General features: G+C 42.1%; 1 long non-coding RNA gene across 2 annotated transcripts in view, besides 5 other annotated features; it reads right to left on the bottom strand.

The window, feature by feature from the left end:
* Positions 1 to 18,503, bottom strand: part of GDNF-AS1 (GDNF antisense RNA 1) — a 35,916-nt gene that overhangs the window by 17,244 nt on the left and 169 nt on the right. The window contains exon 1 of one of the 2 annotated variants that reach the window (NR_103441.2): positions 17,983 to 18,118. The exons of the other annotated variant lie outside the window; for it this stretch is intronic. This is a non-coding gene — a long non-coding RNA (GDNF antisense RNA 1). Of the gene's footprint in view, positions 1 to 17,982; positions 18,119 to 18,503 lie in introns of those variants that run through there. 2 annotated transcript variants of the gene reach the window in all.
* Positions 9,851 to 10,351: an enhancer, noted in NCBI's record as "H3K4me1 hESC enhancer chr5:37848307-37848807 (GRCh37/hg19 assembly coordinates)". NCBI's record gives its function as "activates a minimal SCP1, AML or CMV promoter by ChIP-STARR-seq in primed H9 embryonic stem cells {active_cell/tissue: H9 hESC(primed)}" and the evidence as "EXISTENCE:reporter gene assay evidence [ECO:0000049][PMID:30033119]".
* Positions 9,851 to 11,068: a biological region, named in NCBI's record as "MED14-independent group 3 enhancer GRCh37_chr5:37847590-37848789".
* Positions 9,869 to 11,068: an enhancer, noted in NCBI's record as "MED14-independent group 3 enhancer chr5:37847590-37848789 (GRCh37/hg19 assembly coordinates)". NCBI's record gives its function as "activates an origin of replication core promoter dependent on BRD2, BRD4, P300/CBP and CDK7 cofactors, and independent of MED14, by STARR-seq in HCT116 cells {active_cell/tissue: HCT116}" and the evidence as "EXISTENCE:reporter gene assay evidence [ECO:0000049][PMID:35650434]".
* Positions 10,352 to 10,852: an enhancer, noted in NCBI's record as "H3K4me1 hESC enhancer chr5:37847806-37848306 (GRCh37/hg19 assembly coordinates)". NCBI's record gives its function as "activates a minimal SCP1, AML or CMV promoter by ChIP-STARR-seq in naive and primed H9 embryonic stem cells {active_cell/tissue: H9 hESC(naive and primed)}" and the evidence as "EXISTENCE:reporter gene assay evidence [ECO:0000049][PMID:30033119]".
* Positions 10,415 to 10,544: an enhancer, noted in NCBI's record as "active region_22491". NCBI's record gives its function as "activates an Ori minimal core promoter by ATAC-STARR-seq in GM12878 lymphoblastoid cells {active_cell/tissue: GM12878}" and the evidence as "EXISTENCE:reporter gene assay evidence [ECO:0000049][PMID:35858748]".

Genomic DNA, 18,503 nt, shown 5'->3' with positions numbered 1-18,503 from the left:
TCTGTGATGGTAGGGGACACACACAATTCAGCAACCAAAAGGTTTTAGTTCCCCAAAAGTCTAAAAGTGCACTAATAAAGGGCCCTGGAGTGCAACTGGGGAAGACAAGCATGCTTCCCAAGCAAAAGACCCACTTTTCCCTTAAGGGAAAATCCCAGGTTTGAAAATATCACAGAAACAAAAAGAAAGATAACTAGAAAACAGGAGTTGGAAATGTTGATCCTAATGAAAAGCAAGGAAGTGGGGCAGAGACACTGACATCTGAATTAACCATGTGACAAAGTCTCAGGACAGAGGGAGGGCTGACACAGAGCTAGACTCCATTAAAGTGTTAGAATGACAAGTTCCTGCAACATGATAATTTAGAGACTTGTAATATATCTGTCCACACAACAGCTAATTTCAGAGTCAATGATGTACTCCTTGAAGACAATCTGGAAACCTGGAAAATCCAAGACAAATGGTCTGTTAGCATAAAGGATCTCGATGGTTTAAATCCTCCATACATCATGGCTGCATGAAAGGATTCCTCTGTAAACATGGGAGCAAGACCACACTGCCTTATATCAAGATATTTTCAGCTTGTTTAAAAGGGGGCATAATTTTCCACTGGCAAATAGTTTCTTCACAATCTCTCTCTCTCTCTTTCTCTCTCTCTTTCTTTCTCTCTCTCTCTCTCTCACACCCACACACACAGAGACACACACACACCCTGCCTATCTGTGCACATGGAGGAAAACTCTTTCAATGGTTTTCAAGTTATAAAGGCCTAAGCCTTTTTGTACTACTTTGGGAAGCTTGAAGCTACAGGCTAGAGCAGCTACAGCCCAGCCTGGTGAGACATTGGTTTCTCTGTGAGCTGGCCAGCATCACCTACTCCCTGCACCCTGCCTTCCTGTCCTGCAACCAACAGTCTAATTGCTTTTGTACCTTTCTGAATAAACAAAAGTACTTCTTTTTTGTTTAATGTCATATGTAGTTTATAAAATTAAGTGGTAACTGTAGATAATAAGCATTTTATATCAGCTATGTAACATATGAGCTTCAAGTCTATTTCTGTTGACTCTCAACCATCAGGCTCATGGCAAAGGCTTTATGACTATAGGATAGATAGGGGTGTGTTAGCCATACATGTTGGAAGGAAGGGAAACAGGAGAAGGAATAACAGTCAGAACAGGTTGGCTTGTACTGGGGTAATAACCATTCCCCAAAATCTCAATGGCAAACAAACAAACAAAAAAAAAAGGCATCTTTCTCACTCTACTACATGTCCATCTCAGGTCAGTGCAGGGTGGGGGGGTCGGGGGGAGATGGAGGGTGGGACCACTCCTTACTCCTTACTCCAAAACTCAGGCTGAGGAAGTGGCCACCAATTCCTACATTGCTGGGCATATAGGGGAGGGAAAGAAAGCTCTGCACAGCCTTGAACCAGCAATTAAATGTTTGATCTAATGGTGACACACAGCATCTCCACTCATATCTTATTGCCCAGAACTGGTCACATGGCCCAGCCACCAGTCACCCAATGACAAGGGGGCCAGGAAGTGAAATCCTACTCTGTGCCTGAAAGTCAAAGATCCAGAAAGATTTGAAGAACAGTGCTAATGACCACCAAGAAGGGAGGACGGGAGAAGACCTACCAATTGACTGCTGCTGAAAAAGACACACTGAAAAATCCTACTACTGTCACTGACTGTCCTCAGATCCTGACTCAACAGCATCTACCACTGCCTGTAAAACCTGCAAAGTAGAGGGCAAGTCCCAAAACATAATCCAGCTTTCATCCCAACATCTAAAGAAATAATCATGCATTTCTATTAAGATTGAATTTTGACAGCAGAGAGGTGATAGGTGTTGCTTTGTAATTTTAAAAAATAAAGATTTTGTTAATTATACAATATTTTCAAAATGTTTTCATTTCCCATGAAGTAGGCATTCTCATATATTAATTTTAAGAACAAAGTTCATTGGGCTTTCCTGAAATATTATTGGCTAGGTGGCAAAGAACATTTAAAAGGTTTATCACACTTTGACTCAGAAATTCTACATCTAGAAATCAATCCTAAGAAAATAAGCAGAAATGCAAATAAAGGTTTATGTAAAAGCATATTGTCTTCCTCTTTTTTTTTTAAGACAGCGTCTCGCTCTGTAGGCCAAGCTGGAGTGCCAGTGCCATTGAGGCCTCGACAGCCTCAACCTCCTAGGGTCAAACATAGCCCACTTCAGCCTCTCAAGTAGCTGGGGCTATGGGTGCCCACCACCACACCTGGCTAATTTTTGTATTTTTTTTGTAGAGATGGGGTTTTGCCATGTTGACCCAGGATAGTCCCAAACTCCTGGGCTCCAATAATCCTCCTGCCTCAGCCTCCCAAAGTACAGGGATTACAGGTGTGAGCCACCATCTCCAGCCTAAAGTGTTTTTATGTTTTATAGATGTTTTCTGTAGCATTATTATTAATACTACAAACTGAAAGTAACATAAATGTCTAATAAAAGGGAATGGGTCAAATAAATATGGCTACATTCATACAACAGAATATTGCATATTGGTTTGGTGAAATGGCTCAGCAGGCTGGTGTGATAATGCAATGAACTACTCTATTGCCATTAAGAATCACAATTATTAGGGTTATCTAGAAATGTGGAAAGAACTATAGGAAGTAATAATAACAAGACAAAGTAGAAATCAGTAATATACATATTAAAATTCCATATGATATAAATCAGTTCTACATTAAATTCAGAAAAGATTAGGGCAGATATCGATGTTCCAGAAACTTGCGTTTTTCTGATGATTTTGTATGTGTTCAGATGTTTGTTAAACTCTTGTTCAGCTGATGAAAGAAGAACCAGGAAGAAGAAATAAAAAGGGAGGGGAGGAGAAAAAGAAGAGAGAAAACAGGAAGAAGGGGAAAGTAGAAATAGAAAGTAGAAAGGGGACCAGAAAGACAAAAGATTTAGAAAGTTTATTGTAGCAACTACCATAACATCTCCACGCTGTCCATCCCAGGCAAAGTCCTGAGTAGGCTTTTCCTCTGTGAGCTACAAAAGAACAATGTGATTTTAGTCTACCAAAATGTAAGAATTTTTGCTGTTCATTAAATACATGGAAAGTATAGGAAAGATCTTCAATACCTCTACATCACATTCACAGATACATTTGCCACTTAGGAGAGCTGAGCTTTGGCCTCTAAGCAGTGGCCTCTAAGCCACCTGGGAGGTTCAATAAATACCCAGTGAACTGGCTGGGTGTTTCTGGGCTATGTGCTACTTGGCCTGGCTAATTTCAATTGGTAGCATAGACCAGGAAGGCTGAGTGACAAGACTGGGTCTGGGCTTAGTCAAACTTCATGCAGCCCTCCTTGAGGGTGAAACGGAGGACCTAGAAGCTAGTATTAGAAATCTTCAAATAAACAAGAAACTTTTTTCAACTCAGTAGGCTACCAACAATGAGATACAATCAAACACCCACCACAGTGGATAAAATTAAAAAGACTGACAATATTAAGCACTGGTGAGGATGTAGAGCAACTGGGCCCCTCATACATTGCTGGTGAGAGTACAGAATGGTACAACCACTTTGGAAAACTGTTTGGCCCCTTTTAATGTAATTCCACTCCTAGGTTAATACTTGAAGAAAATGAATGTATATGTCCACAAAAAAAAGACTTGTTCAAGAATGTTCATGGTGACATCAGTCATAATAGTTCAGATTTGTTTCATGTCTCTTTTCTCTAAGATGAGTGACTTCCCAGGACATGGTTGAGTCCAGGAGCACAAAAGGGCAGAAGAAACTTGCCATGCCTATTGAAGTCTCACTCAAAACTGACACACAGTCACTTCCGTCCTTCCTATTGACCAAAGCAAGACACATGGCAAAGCACTTACTGAGCATTTACTGCAAGCGTGGCTCTTCTCACGCATTTTAGTCTTCACAATACAGTGACAGGGGTACAATTATTATCCTCTTTTATAGATGATAAGACTGTAAATAATTTTTCCAAAGTCACAAGACTAGTAAATGGCAGGGATTTGAGTGCAGAGAATTACACTCCAAAGCCCCTTATACTGAACCTAGAGTTAGAAGATCCTAGATCCAGTGTTTACTTATACAGCCATCACAAAAGTCTATGGAGTGAATTGGGACATAAATTTTTAAGTGGCTTGAACAAGTCACTTAACCTATTTGGCTTTCAATTTCTTCTTGTGTAAAATGAGAGTTATACTAGATTGATTGACCTCTAAGCTCAATTCCACTTATAAATTTAATGCCAAGATTCTGTGAACTCAGTGGAACATTTACCATTAACCTGATAAGAAATGCAAATGGATAATTTGCTAATCGCTACAAGTGAGCCCCAAACTACCCCGATTTCGATATAAGCAACCATATTCAGGGAAGTCACAATGAGATGATTAAGTCTATGTAGAATAGATACTAATTTAAATCCCATTTTTTAAAAAAAAGAATTTTGCTTTTTGGTTAATCCTAAAAGCACTAGAAAAAAAGTAATTCATTGTCAAATTAAACAAATTCCTTTGTTAATGCAAGATTTTTCTTCATTTGTTTAATGGCAAATTGCAGTTCCCATGGAAGCATGGTTATGCTGCTAGCACCTGAGTCTTATCCTCTACACTCTGCACCCTTCTCATGGGGAAAAAGTAGAGTGAGGTCGATACCCAGGAGAGCTGCAAATCCCATTCCCATAAGAATGAGAGCAACTGCTGAAATTGCCTCACATCTACTGTTACTTAAAATAGCCTCTGAACATTTTCTAAGAATTTTTTTTTTACCAGTGTACTTCTCTAGTCTTTCCAAATGGACTTACAGACTTAGAAAACACAGATGATTTCTACTTGTTTGCATCTCTGTGATCACTTGGTACTGTACTGTTTTGTAAAACTAGATGGATGGATGGATGGATGGATGGATGGATGGATGGATGGATGGATGGATGGATGCACAGATGCTTGGATGCATGGATGGACAGACGGACAGATGAGTAGGCTAACACACGCACTGTACCTCTCTTAGGAATGCTCTTTCCAATTCACTTATAGTCTTTCATCTAATTAACTCCTATTCACATGTTGGTTCTCGGCTCAAGCATTGCTTCCTCAGAGAAGCTTTCTCTGATCGCCAGTCAAGATCAGGTTCCTTCATTATGTCCTTACATAGTGTAGTGTTCCTTTCTTCAGATCACTAAGCTACATGGGGTTATGTATTCATCAGTATGATTACACACATGTTTAACGTTCATCTCTTCTAGGCCATAAATTCCATGAGAGTGGGACCACATACGAGCTTAAAAAATGAATGAACAAATAAATGAATAGGTGAATGAATGAACTGTGAGCTATGAGCTTGGAACTTGGATATAAAGATAATTCTACCGTAATCATAAAGTTGCAGTATTTAAGGAAAACAGAAAACTTCAAGGTCAAATGGCACTTATATAATAAAAGAATCTTAGAGTTTTGAGGGACCTTTGGTTCAATATCCTACACAATGTGGGAATATATGCATTGAATATTTGACCTGTATGAACAGAGTGTATAATTTGTGTATAACTTCATTTTTGGAATAGGTATTTAATTATTTGGGAAATGTCATTTGCTATGGTACCCTAAAACTCTGAGATGTTTAATTAAGTTCATATTAGTGCACATTTTATTCTAAAGGATGATTTTATTCATGATTTTTCAATTAATCAATTTATAGGTCTACCTAACTCAATACAATGCAATAGGTGTGTGCATGTGTGTGTATACACACACTATATAAACTATGTGGAAATCATATATTCATCAACAAAATCATTTAAAGTGCACCAATCATGTCACTAAACAAATGTTAAGATAAATTATTCCATAAAATGAAGAATAGTTTAAACTTCAGACTATTTGACCTCTAATCTGTGTTTTGCAGGTCTAGATTTTTAATCCGACCTTTCTGAAAATGAGACCCACCTATATAGGCACCTACAGTTCTGGATTTTACAATGACGAGATTCCCCAGAAAAATGACTGTGGAGCATGTTATTATCATGTGGAATATTTGAGGATTAAACTGGTTCTCTCTAGTATGTTCCAGAAGCCACATGCAGATGACCTTCAGATTCCTCCCTTCTTCTGCTTCCTTCTGAGATGGGTACTGGTTGATTGTCGATTCCATCCTGATGCAGCCTCAACTCGCAGCCTGACCCTGCCAGCCGACTACCATGGTCTTTGCCTGTTATGTGCCCATGTGGACAGCTTGTATGGCACCTAGAGTATTCACAGGAAATTAGCTCATCAACTCTTCACCCAACCTGATGCCAGACACACAACTTGTAATAGGTGGAAAAAATAATAATGTGATGACATCATTAGTTTCTCCTCCCTCTTCCTCGCTAGCAGAACCCCAACTGTCCAGGCAGCATTGTGCCCAGTCCCAGAAGCTGATTCATGGTTAGTCTACAAGCCAGGCACATCAATCCTCCTTCCTTTCACCAGTGATTGGTCTAGGACAGGCACGTGAACCAGTTTTGACCAATGGTATGTGAAGGGAAGCCTACTAGGGGGATGCTAGGAAGGATTTTCCTCTCTTAATCGGAGAGGACTAGGCTGGGCGCGGTGGCTCACGCCTGTAATCCCAGCACTTTGAGAGGCCGAGGCGGGCGGATCACGAGGTCAGGAGACCGAGACCATCCTGGCTAACACGGTGAAACCCTGTCTCTACTAAAAATACAAAAAAAATTAGCCGGGCGTGGCGGCCGGTGCCTATAGTCCCAGTTACTCGGGAGGCTGAGGCAGGAGAATGGGGTAAACCCGAGAGGCGGAGCTTGCAGTGAGCCGAGATCGCACCACCGCACTCCAGCCTGGGCGACAGAGCAAGACACCGTCTCAAAAAAAAAAAAAAAAAGAGAAGCCTAGAAGGAGATTTCTTTTCACTCCATTCCCCGCTTCCTTCTTGTTTGGGACATTGTCCTGTAAGCACATGACTCTTGAGAGTTATGACATCCATCTTGCACCATGAAAAGAGGCATCACCAACACAGGGACATCAGCAGCATCAGGTCTTTAATGACATCATCAAGCCACTACACCAACCCTGGGAACTGGTACATCCAGGTAAGTGAACTACAAATGTCTTTATAGCTTAAGCAGTTGTTAATCGAGCTCTGGGCTACTTATACCAAACACATTCCTGACACAAATAATAATATAATCAATATCTTATGTCAGCATGGCACTTCACATTCTTCAAAATACTTTTAAAGCCATTATTTTATTTAATCCTGCCAACAATCCTGGGAAGAGATAAGTGCAACTATTATTATCCATCATTTTTACAAATACAGAAACAGATTTAGAAAGAATGAATCTCATGTAAAAAAAAATCAAAAGAACCAGACCTAACACTGATTCAAGACTCTTTGCTTTAGTCCAGGAGTTGGCAAACTATGGTCCAAATGTGCAACTGGCGAACTAAGAACATTTTTTGCATTTTTTAAATAGCTAAAAAAATTAAAAGAGCACTATTTCATGACACATAAAAATGTGAAATTCAAATTTTAGTGTCCATAAGTAAAGATACATTGGAATACAGCTATGCTCATTTGTTAACATATTGTCTATGACTGCTTTAGTGCTGCAATTACAGCACTATTTGACCTCTAATCTGTGTTTTGCAAGTCTAGATTTTTAATCCGACCTTTCTGAAAATGAGACCCACCTACATAGGTGCTGCAATTACAGCATTAAAGCAGTCAGTAGTTGTAAACTACTGTATGGCCCACAAAGCCTAAAATATCTACTATTAGGCCCTTTGCAGAAAAAGTTTGCCAACCTCTGCCTTAGTCCTATTACACCCACTCGTAAAAACTTATGCTCCAATAAAAAACAATGCAGAGTGGTTAGAACACCGTATTTTACACCCTAGCATGGTGATCTGAGGTTTAGTTGCTGTTTGTCATTTTTTTCCATTGTCTGACTATAACCTACTGACAGCTTCATAATCCCTAGACTACCCAGATAGGAGCAGGGAAATGGCTTGACTAACTGCTAATTAATCAGTCTGGCTTGAATTCTCCTTTCAGTAAACACTAGAACACATCTGTTTGAAACAATGTTTTGATGAAACAGTCCCTCAATCAAAAAGAAAAAAACTCACATCCCATGTATGCTCTGCTGCAGTTTTTCTTCTCTGAGATTTGCCATCATCTGAATGTAAATGAATCATGCTAAATCTGGTATCAAACCCACAAAAGACACTCTAGGGAGATTATGAGCAACCATGTTACACAAACTAAGATTATGCAAACCATGTAGCAGATATAAAACAAGTCATTTTATTTCTTAATCATTTTCTTGCTTTGATCTTTGTTAACATAATATTGAATGAACACTACATTTCACTAGATAAGAAAATATATATGTGAATATTTAATAGAGTACCTAGTACATATTTTGTGCTTGTTAAAAATTAGTTGAACCTGAAATTCAGTGAACCATGAGGAAGAATATTTTTAAACCACTTAATTGTAGAAAAGAATAAAGTATGCATCTTTAGCACATAAATTCTAGGAGTCGGCAGTCTACGAAGATTTATCTCAAAATAAATTTTTTCTTGTTCTTGTGGCTTTGGTTTAAGCCACTTCATAGAACCCCCAAAACATGCCTTAAAAGATACAATGCCAGCTTTATTCCAGAGCAGGCCAACATGGTTTCACCAGTTTATAAATCTTTGCATTGTTGTAAAACAGAAACAACATGCCAGTCTGCAAAGATTCTTTCACGAGTCTTAAATTCAAGTTATACTCACCCCACTATAGTCATCGAATAGAGAGCCTGGGTTCTCCATGATAGAGGTTCTTTCTAGGGGTTCAGAACTCCTGATCCTTGTCACCTGGAGAGCCCAATGTTTCAAGTTTATCTGCTCCCTCTGCCGCCTCGCTCTGTGGTAATTACCAGGCTCCCAGGGCTGGCCTAACAGCTCATGTGATAGAAGTACACAGGCAAAGAAACAAACAGCTGCATGAATTCCAGCGGCATTTAAACCTTAAACAACCTGAGGAAAGTTGCTGAATCAAAAATGGAATCTAAAAAAGTCAAACTCATAGAAGTTGAATTTCTAGAATGGTGGTTACCAGAGGCCAGGGGAGGAGGAGTGGCGGCGGGAGGGAGGAAAAAGGAGGGAAAGGGGAGACGTTGGTCAAAGCATTCAAAGTTTTGGCTGGAGCTAAGGAGTTGGTGATCTATTACACAGCATGGTGACTACCATTAATAATAATGATGTATTGTAGATTTCAAAATAGCTAAAAGAACTATTTTAAATGCTGTCATCACAAAGAAATGTTAAGTATCTGAGGTGATGGGCATGTTATTTAGCCTAATTTGATCATTCTACAATGTATACATGTATCAAAACATCATGTTATACCCCACAGATACATACAATTATCATTTGTCAATTAAAAGTTAAAAAAAATGTTAAAGGAACAAACTTGGGGAAACAGCTTTCAAAACATTTTAGCAAAGAACATAAGGGCTACATCCAATTGGTCCAGCCTCCAAAAGAAAACGAATAGTAAAATGTGCCAACTTATAAAAAAGTAATGGCTGAAAATGTTATTTCTTTCCTAGACAATAGCTTCATTTTAATGATTACACATTCTCTGGGAGAATTGATAAGAAACTGGTAATTGTGTTACCAGAGAAGTGGATGGCTTGAAGATGGCATGAGAGAAACAATCACTTATCACTGAAAATACCTTTGCACCTTTTGAAAGGTGTAATGTGCATATATAATCTTGTCAAGTAATTGCATTAATTAAGTTTTTAAGATTACATATTACACACCCAACGCATATCATGAGTAGACCAAAGTTACTAAAAGCACACAATGCAAGGTGTGACTTCTAATAAGAGTCTTCATTTTTTCATTCATTTAACAAGTAGTTATATGCCAGATACTAAGGAGGTGAACATTTAAAATGTTGTTCCTTCCCTTACAGAACATTTGGTCTAATGTAGCCATGGCTATGCATACAAGCAATTTCATACAATAAGTATGAAGTGCAGTAGAACAGAGAAAGGATGCCCAATAAACATTGGGACATTTATTCTCCAAACATATGTTACAGCCTCCTGGTAGTCACCTGGAGACACCAGTCACTTAGTCCAGAAATGTTGTGATTGTTTAGCATTGAGAGTTCCTCTTTTGGAATCAGTTTACAAGCTGTGTGAGTGATCTACTGCCATAATGTTGCTGCATAACAACCACAAAATCCCACGGGTATACAATAAGCCTTCCTTGCTTATTCCAGACTGGTTGAAGAGGCAGCGCTGTTGATCTTTACAGGCTCATTTACATGTCTGGGGATGAAGAGTGGAGGGGAAATCAGTTGGCTCTCAGCTCATCTAAACTGACCTTGCCTGTGACAAATGGAGCAATACTGCTCTGTTCCACACGCCTCTCATCCTCCAGCAGGCTAGCCCAGGCATGTTCTCCTGGCAATGGCATAGCTTTGAAAGAGGAAGCAGACACATGTTTACCTTGTGAGTCTTGGCTCAAAACTGGCACTCTCTCACTACCATTGCATTCTACTGCCCAAGACAAGTCACAATGCCCCTTCAGATTCAGAGGATGGGGAAACAGACACCATCACTTTAGCAAGAGGAACTGCAGAATCACATAGCAAAGAGCATAGATACAGAGAAGAGTGAAGAACTGAGGCCATCGTTGCAATTTACCACTGAGCCATGAGCAGTCTCTAAATTATCTTCTCTTGGTTTTAACCCTCCTCTTTCACTAGGATTGATTTCAGACGGTTTGATCTTTGCTCAAAATTCACCCCACCCTCAAAACCCAGAGAACTGCCATCCCTGAATACAGAGATGCTGTCTCATGACTTTTTCTTTGTCCCTCAGCAACTGCCAACACAGGGCCTTATGAAGGGAGATGGCTAAATGATATTTGTTGGATGGATGACAATTGTGTTTGCAGGTTATAAAAGTGTTTCAAGTGACAGGTGCATATTAGGATATATAGATAGTCTTCTCAGATGACCACTTTGAAACAGATGCCACATTCTAATATGTTGGTGTCCCTGAGTTAGTATAGAAAATTGACCCATTATATTTAGGTCACATTCCTACTATTCAAGATTGTAAAGTAGATACTTATTACAATTATCTTAACTTTAGCTTTTGTTTTTTACTCAGATTTCTAAAATGTACCTCCCAATCTTTCACCCATTATTTTTCAAATAGTGAAGTCATTCTACAAATAGGTATTGCCTAACCTCATGCTGGGTATATTATCTGCTGACTTACCATTGGCTAGAGAATGCCTCTGGAAAGGATAACAATGACCTACCTTACAGGACTTTTCTGGGAAGTTACATGATAGACTGCTCGAAGAAAGGTCTGCAAATTCACCTGGTGTAATATTAATTCTTTACATTTCTAGAGCTGCCTTTCTCTCAAAGAATTCCAAGCGCTTCACATATGGTCCGCCAGATCCTCTTAGAGTGTAAATTATGCCCCAGGAGTAAGTTAATTGCTTGCAGGGAGGCATTAACTCTTTCAGGTCACTAGGGTTCCACTTACAGCATTGCAGGAGGGCAGTAATTTACCAAATAATACACCAGTGACCGGAAAGTATTTGTGCAATATAAATTATTCCCAGGGAGTAACTTATGAACTCAGAAAATCTGGTTTATTATCTCATCTATTCACACAGATTCCCAGGGAGGGAGAGAAGGAGCAAGAAGAGAAAAATAGGTAGAAAAATAGGTGAGGCTACAAGTTTCCCAAGCTCCCACAGCTTCTCAGGGGCAGAGCTCCAACTTGAGTTGTCTGATCACTGGCATGCCTTCCTCTCAACTTGAGGCTGTGGGACTTGGGGCTGTCAACCTGAAGTTTCTGCTAATCAGGGCCAGGACTAGGATGAGGTGAGAGAGGTGACTCAGTGTCTTCACCTGAGTCCTGGCCCTGCTGCTACATCAGTGAGATATGTATTAGCTTGAAACACTCAAGGGACCATAAAATCCACACTCGCATTCACCGCTTGCTTCTATTAAACCCATAAATAATTGTTGAGGATTCATGAATTGATCAATTAGCGTTCCCATATGGAGGAAAAATGGAGAAGGCAATGGAGGAGGTAGTGTAACAGTAAAGAGGAGTGGATGTCATGTTGCTCTGTTGCCATTCTTGGAAACAGTCAAACAATTCATGTATTTTAGGTAAGAGCAGAAGAGACTAGATTGAAGTCTGTTTATTACGTAATTAATATATGGCATAGAGGTCTCTTGGAATATTTTGGCTTAAAGATCCAAATACTGGCCAGAGGCGGTGGCTCACATCTGTTATCCCAGCACTTTGGGAGGTGAGGTGGAAAGATAGCTTGAGCCCAGGAGTTCCAGACCAGCCTAGGCAATATAGGGAGATTCCATCTCTATTTTCTTTTTGCTTTTTTTTTTTTTTTTTGAGACGTAGTCTCACTCTGTTGCCCAGGCTGGAGTGCAGTGGCATGATCTCAGCTCACTGCAACCTCCACCTTCCTGATTCAAGCGATTCCCCTGCCTCAGCCTCCTGAATAGCTGGGATTACAGCCGCACGCCATCACATGCAGCTAATTTTTTTGTATTTTTAGTAGAGATGGGGTTTCACCATGTTGGCCAGGCTGGTCTCAAACTCTTGACCTCAGGCAATCTGCCTGCCTCAGCCTCCCAAGGTGCTGGGATTACAGGCATGAGCCACCACGCCCAGCCTATTTTCTTTATAAAAATAAGTAAATAAATAAATAAATAAATAAATAAATAAAGGTCCAAATACTGAATCCTTGTCAGAGTCAACTGACCACTGTGAATTCCCATTCTTTAGGAAGGTTCCAAAAGTGTGCAACAGGAACTAGGTGGTCCACAAAAGAATTAGGATACTGGTATCTTGACTCCCCACTCAAATCTCTCTCTTCCCCCCAACCCCCATCTATCTCTGTGCCTTTGTGATGGCTGTCTAAAAGCCAATTACAGAAGCATCATGGCCTTTTAAGGGGAAAAAATGTATTTAGTGCTCTGCTCTCTGCCTGGGAGTTTTGCTGTTCCAAAAGGCAGCAATCAACTTCTGTTCAAATTTCTGCTCCCCATTCAGCCTGACATTAACCTCTGCCCCCAATAGAGATCCCAGTTGATTTATCTGAATTTTGACTCATTTCTTGCCTCAATAAAATATACTAAATCACAATTTGAAAGGTGACAGAACACTCCCCGTGTGCCCCCTTCCATACACACACACACACACACATATAAAACCAGTGAAATAATTGTATAGCACACTTACTTGGATGGTAAGACTGTCAGAGTGGCCTTGGGTAAGTCACTTAACCACTCTCTGCCTCCATTTTCTCCCCTTGTAAGATGAGGAGCTTGGACTAGAAGTCTCAGGTCCCTTCCAATTCTGGAACTGATAAGTCTCATCAAAGTGATAACTTTAACCTATACTGGAGTCGGCAAATCATAGCCCTTGCGTCAAATCTTGTCCACTGCCTGCTTTTGTATGGTCCATGAGCTAAGAATGGTTTTTACATTTAAAAATCAAAAAAGTATTTCATAACATGGAAAAAATTATATTATCATTTACATATCATCTATGGGTGCTCTTGCAACACAAGGCTAGAGTTGAGAAGTTGCAACAGAGACAGTATGCCTGCAAAGCCTAAAATATTTACTATCTTTACAGAAAATGTTTGCTAACCCCAGACCTAAGCCATCAGACCATTTGCATAGTAAGAAAGTCTGCCGCAACACTCTCACCTGATTGAAGTTTTATCTCTGGAAAAGAGAAATTTCACAAAGTAATTTCAAGAGCCAAAAACAAAATTAGTGGACAATGAGACAATTTGATCCTAATGAAAGAAACTGCTGGAAATCACTGATAAATCTCCCTTGCCAATGTCAGGATTGATTTCTTATGAGAAACGATTTACTCCAAAGAATTTGTCACTTCCCACTACTTGCAAAAAGGCCATTACAGTGAATTTTTCCCCTTTCTTTTTTTCTTTTCACTTTTTTTTAAGTGGTCTGAAGGCAAATCTATCTTTCCTTCATGAGTAATAGGATCATTCGTGAAAATGGCTGTTAAAAAGCAAGCAAGCATGGAACAAATCGCAGTCCAATAAAGCTGTGACTTTGAAAAGGAAATTGCTCTGCTTAAGTGATGGATTCTGTTTCAGTCCTCACGACCCAAGTTATGAGGCAGTCCAGGGACCGGGGTCCTGGCCCTCATAGTCAAAGCAGCTGCAAAGCCCCACTGGGAGCTCGCCAAGGACTCTGTGAATGGCCAAAAGCTGACCCACCCACCCCATCACGTCTACAGGCTGCAGCCCTACAGGGCCACAGAGGCTGAGCAAGAATGTGGCAGTACCTAGCATCCAGTCTCCTCCAGCGACCCTTTCAGCCAGCCTGGAATGTCCCCTCACCCCCACCTCCTCTCTGCTTACTTACTCCAATCAAGGGCTAGTTTGAGTTCCATAACCTTATAATACCCTGTATTATTTTTCATCATTTTATGGTTGTGTTTTCTCTTCCCAAGGACTGTAAGATCCTTGGGCACAAATTGCACCGATCATTTAGACAACTTTCAGTTAGAGACTCACAAGAAATCCCAGTGAAGAGGACGATAGCGATGAAATAGGAAATTAGCAGGGCTTCGAACCTTTTTTCTCAAAGAGGAGATGGGAGGCTTGAACAATGTTTGTTCTCTCTGATTCTCAGGCAGGGCTTCCTAGATAAAAAGCTGAGATCTGGGGACAATGTGAGAATCCTTAGCAGTATGTTGCTGTTGTTGCTTTATCAGAGGATGTTCTGCCTATTGAGAGCAGAGTCGGTGCTGCAAATTCTTCCCTTCTGGACTTCGCTGAGGAACAGCTTCAAATCAAACTATTCCGTTTCCTTGAGAACAGAGAAGCTGGAGCCTCGGAGCTGTGGGGCTCCCTACTTTCAGCTTATGGGGGCGTGAGACTGTGACATCAGGCCATCCCCTTGTTCCCAAGACACCAAATGTTTGCTTCCCATCTTAACTCTATTCAAGGCAGTCACTTCAGAAGGAACTTTTGCTGAATTCATCTGTATGCTGTAGCCATGTAAATAAATGTTCTTTCAAAATTAGAAATATTTGCTTTAATTCTAAATTAAATTTAACATTTTCCTTTATATTACTGTTTTAAGATACTTTGTATTTTGAAAGGAATTTAATGTTTTGGAAGAGTCTTAGTCTTAGAACCTATCAAAATAGGGCTTCTTCATTTTGCTTTCAAAAAGAATCATAAGATGATTGCAACCACTGGGAAAAGATAAAGCCAATTCACTAACCTGGGAGCATCTGAAAAATCAACTCCTGAGCTCCACCCTTCAAGAGATTCTGATTTAATTGCCCTGAACAAGGCCTAGGTCTGGGACTTTTTTTTTTTTTTTTTTTTGAGACAGAGTCCCACTGTGTCACCCAGGCTGGAGTACAGTGGTGCAATCACTACTCACTGTAATCTCCACCTCTCAAGTTCAAGCAATTCTCATGCCTCAACCTCCCAAGTAGCTGGGATTACAGGTGCCCACCACCACAACCAGCTAATTTTTCTATTTTTAGTAGAGACTGGGTTTCGCCATGTTGGCCAGGCTGATCTCAAACTCCTGACCCCAAGTGATCCACCCACCTCAGCCTCCCAAAGTGCTGGGATTACGGGTGTGAGCCACCACCACTTCCAGCCTACAGGTCTGGGTATTTTTTGAAATCTCCCCAGTGTTTCACTGGCCATGTGAAAATCAGACTCCAGGACATGAGTCTCATATATACTTCTGTTGGAGTATTTATCACTTTATACCATCAATACTCATGAGCATATCTCCCTCTCTGTAGTGGTAGTTTCTGAAGGGCTGGGAGAGGACTGTCAAAACCCAAAGTGCCTACCATTAACCCACCTCCTTCTGAGGGACCATCCTCTGTGGAGGGAATGTGGGGAGGAACTCTAGGAAGTATCTCAAGCAAAGGTGGCCAGGCTGTGTACTCTGTGATGCCAACAACCTGGACATGAATGATTGGCCCAGGATAGGCACCTGCCCCCAGGTCTGCGGATATACAGGGTGTTTTGCAACCTGTAAGGAGACTGATACAAAGGCTCAGTCCAACTCTCACCCCTGGTGAATCCCTAGCAGGACAAACTAGATCCTTTCACTAAAGGAGTTTAAATGTGAGATCAACTGAGAGCTGAGCAGTTGGTAGCAGGAGCAGAAGCCAAAGGACACCCAGGGGAAAACAGCGAGAGAGGAGCTGAATCACCTTGGCGGCTAAGCCGTTAGTGGGGATCGGCAGATGCCTGCTGCTGAGGGGGCAGCGAGATAACCCAGTCACAGAGCTGTATCCTGAATGACCTTCCAGTTCCTGAACTTCAATCCAGTTTTCATGAGGCCTGGCTGGGTGGCCTTTCCGGAAGGCTTTTCGGAGACACGTGGCGGAATGGTGGAGATTCCGGTCAGCCTTCCTTCCACAGTAAATTCCCATTACTGAGGGTAAACCTCAGTGGTATCTGTTCCTTGCAACCCCCGCCCCCCGCCCAAAAAAAAAGCCCAATCAGCACAATGCCCAGGGCCTAGCACTTTGCCTGGCACACAGCAAGTGCTAGATATTTGCAGGTGCTTGGACGGGCTGATCATCCCCAGCAAAAAGCCCTCTAAAAATAAAGAAATCATTCAGAGTAAGAACATTGATGAGGGTCGTCTTCAAATTCCAAAAACAATGCTAAACGGCAATAAATATATTAAGCTTATTCTGCCCTCTAATTTCTGAATCTAACTACATTTCTACCATAAATCTATCAAAGAGGGAAATGTCATTTTCTGCAGAACTCCAGAGAGCATCCTAATTTCAGCTAAGGTATGTTTTGATGACTCGATTTTCACTTCGCTTAATCTTAAATCACAGCAACGTTAGTAAGAACAATTTTCCTCCCACACTCGCTTCACTGACAAACCTGCAAAGTAGCTGATCTTTGACTTTTAAGAAGTTTAATAATACATGATCTTCCCCCCACACTGCCACACGCATTTCCCCTGCCTATTGTCTGTATCAGCTACTTGAAGAACACATACTCCCCAACAACCGGATGAGTCATAAAATAAGAGGTACATGGACGTAAACTGAGCCTGTTTACACTTTCCCTGGCCCCAGCTAATAAAATAAAAGAGGTCCCACTGAATTCAGGTCCAATGGCTTCCGGAAAACAGGTTTCTGCTTAGCAAAGACATGCCCTATTTAGTACATTATTTTAGAGGTACAGCCAATTCCATGCCCCATGTGAATGAAATGTATTTATGGTTATAGCCATGCACAGGGTGTGTAAGGACTTGCCCTCCTCCTGTCCTCTACAAAAGAAGGCTCAGGCAGCTTCTGGTGGTGAACTAACCAACAAAAGGAATGCCCAGAAGGTCTCACCTCTCCCATCCACAGAGCTCTGGAATGGGGGCCGGGCCCCTGATCGCTGGAAACTCAGCATCCAAGTGGGCGCTTGCTGAAGTTTCCCATCTGCATTTTCGAAAATCTGGATAAAAGCAGGTTTAGCTCAACCTCCCCTAACCCGTTCCTGATAAAGTGATCTTACGCCTCTGGAATTGGGATTTTGAATGTATGTGCCTGCCCCATGTCTGGTATTAGATTACAACAGCATGAAAATGGAGCCTAGGACTGAGGAGCCGGCCAGCCTCAGAAGCCTTCTTCATTGCCTGCCATGTAATACATGATATGCAAAGCCTCTGACTTCAGCCAGCAGATATTTGGAGACCGTGTTGGCCTTAGCATGGGGACTAAACTAATGTGTGTTTAGGTCAGAAAGCGAATCAGAAAAGCCACTGGAGGGCACGTCACGGAGTGAGAGCCCTATAAATTCATCCCCACTCGCAGCGTCCCCTGGCAAATACTCGGCTTCCCTCACCCGGCCGCTCCGCACCTCTCCTTCTCGGTGCTAGAACTCCGGCCGGCAGCTCCTTTTCTCGCCACTGCCTCCTGCCCTGCGGAGAAGCGAGAGGGCGAGACACCCGAGCGGGAAGGCCGGCCTTCGACAGGCGCGAGGAAAGCCCGGCGCTGCCCTGCACCGGCAGAGCGCCACCCTCCCAGTGCGGCGCGCGGGGGCAAAGCCCGGCGCGGGCGCCGCGGTCAAGTTCGGATTGCCCCTTTCGGCTGGCCCGCGCAGAGCGCCGCACATTCCTCTCGATTTTTGATCCACCCGGAGAGGAGAAGGCGCTAGCCCCGCGGCGTCTCCGCGCTCTCAGCGCTCTCCCTGCAGCCCAGGGAGGGGCGCCTCGCGTCGCCCACTCGCACCCCGGCCCCCCGCCTCGGGAACTCCAGGGCCTCCTCGCTGCTCTCCTCTCCTCCCCCACCGCCAGGCCCAGCCGACGCCTCCCGACCCCTCCCTCCCGGGGCCCCGCGCCTCCCCTCCCCCACCCCGGACCCCGGACCCCCAGCCCGGGC

The sequence above is a fragment of the Homo sapiens genome, chromosome 5 (genome assembly GCF_000001405.40).
Source record: "Homo sapiens chromosome 5, GRCh38.p14 Primary Assembly".
NCBI lineage: Eukaryota > Metazoa > Chordata > Mammalia > Primates > Hominidae > Homo > Homo sapiens.
This window is presented reverse-complemented; position numbering and strand designations above follow the sequence as displayed.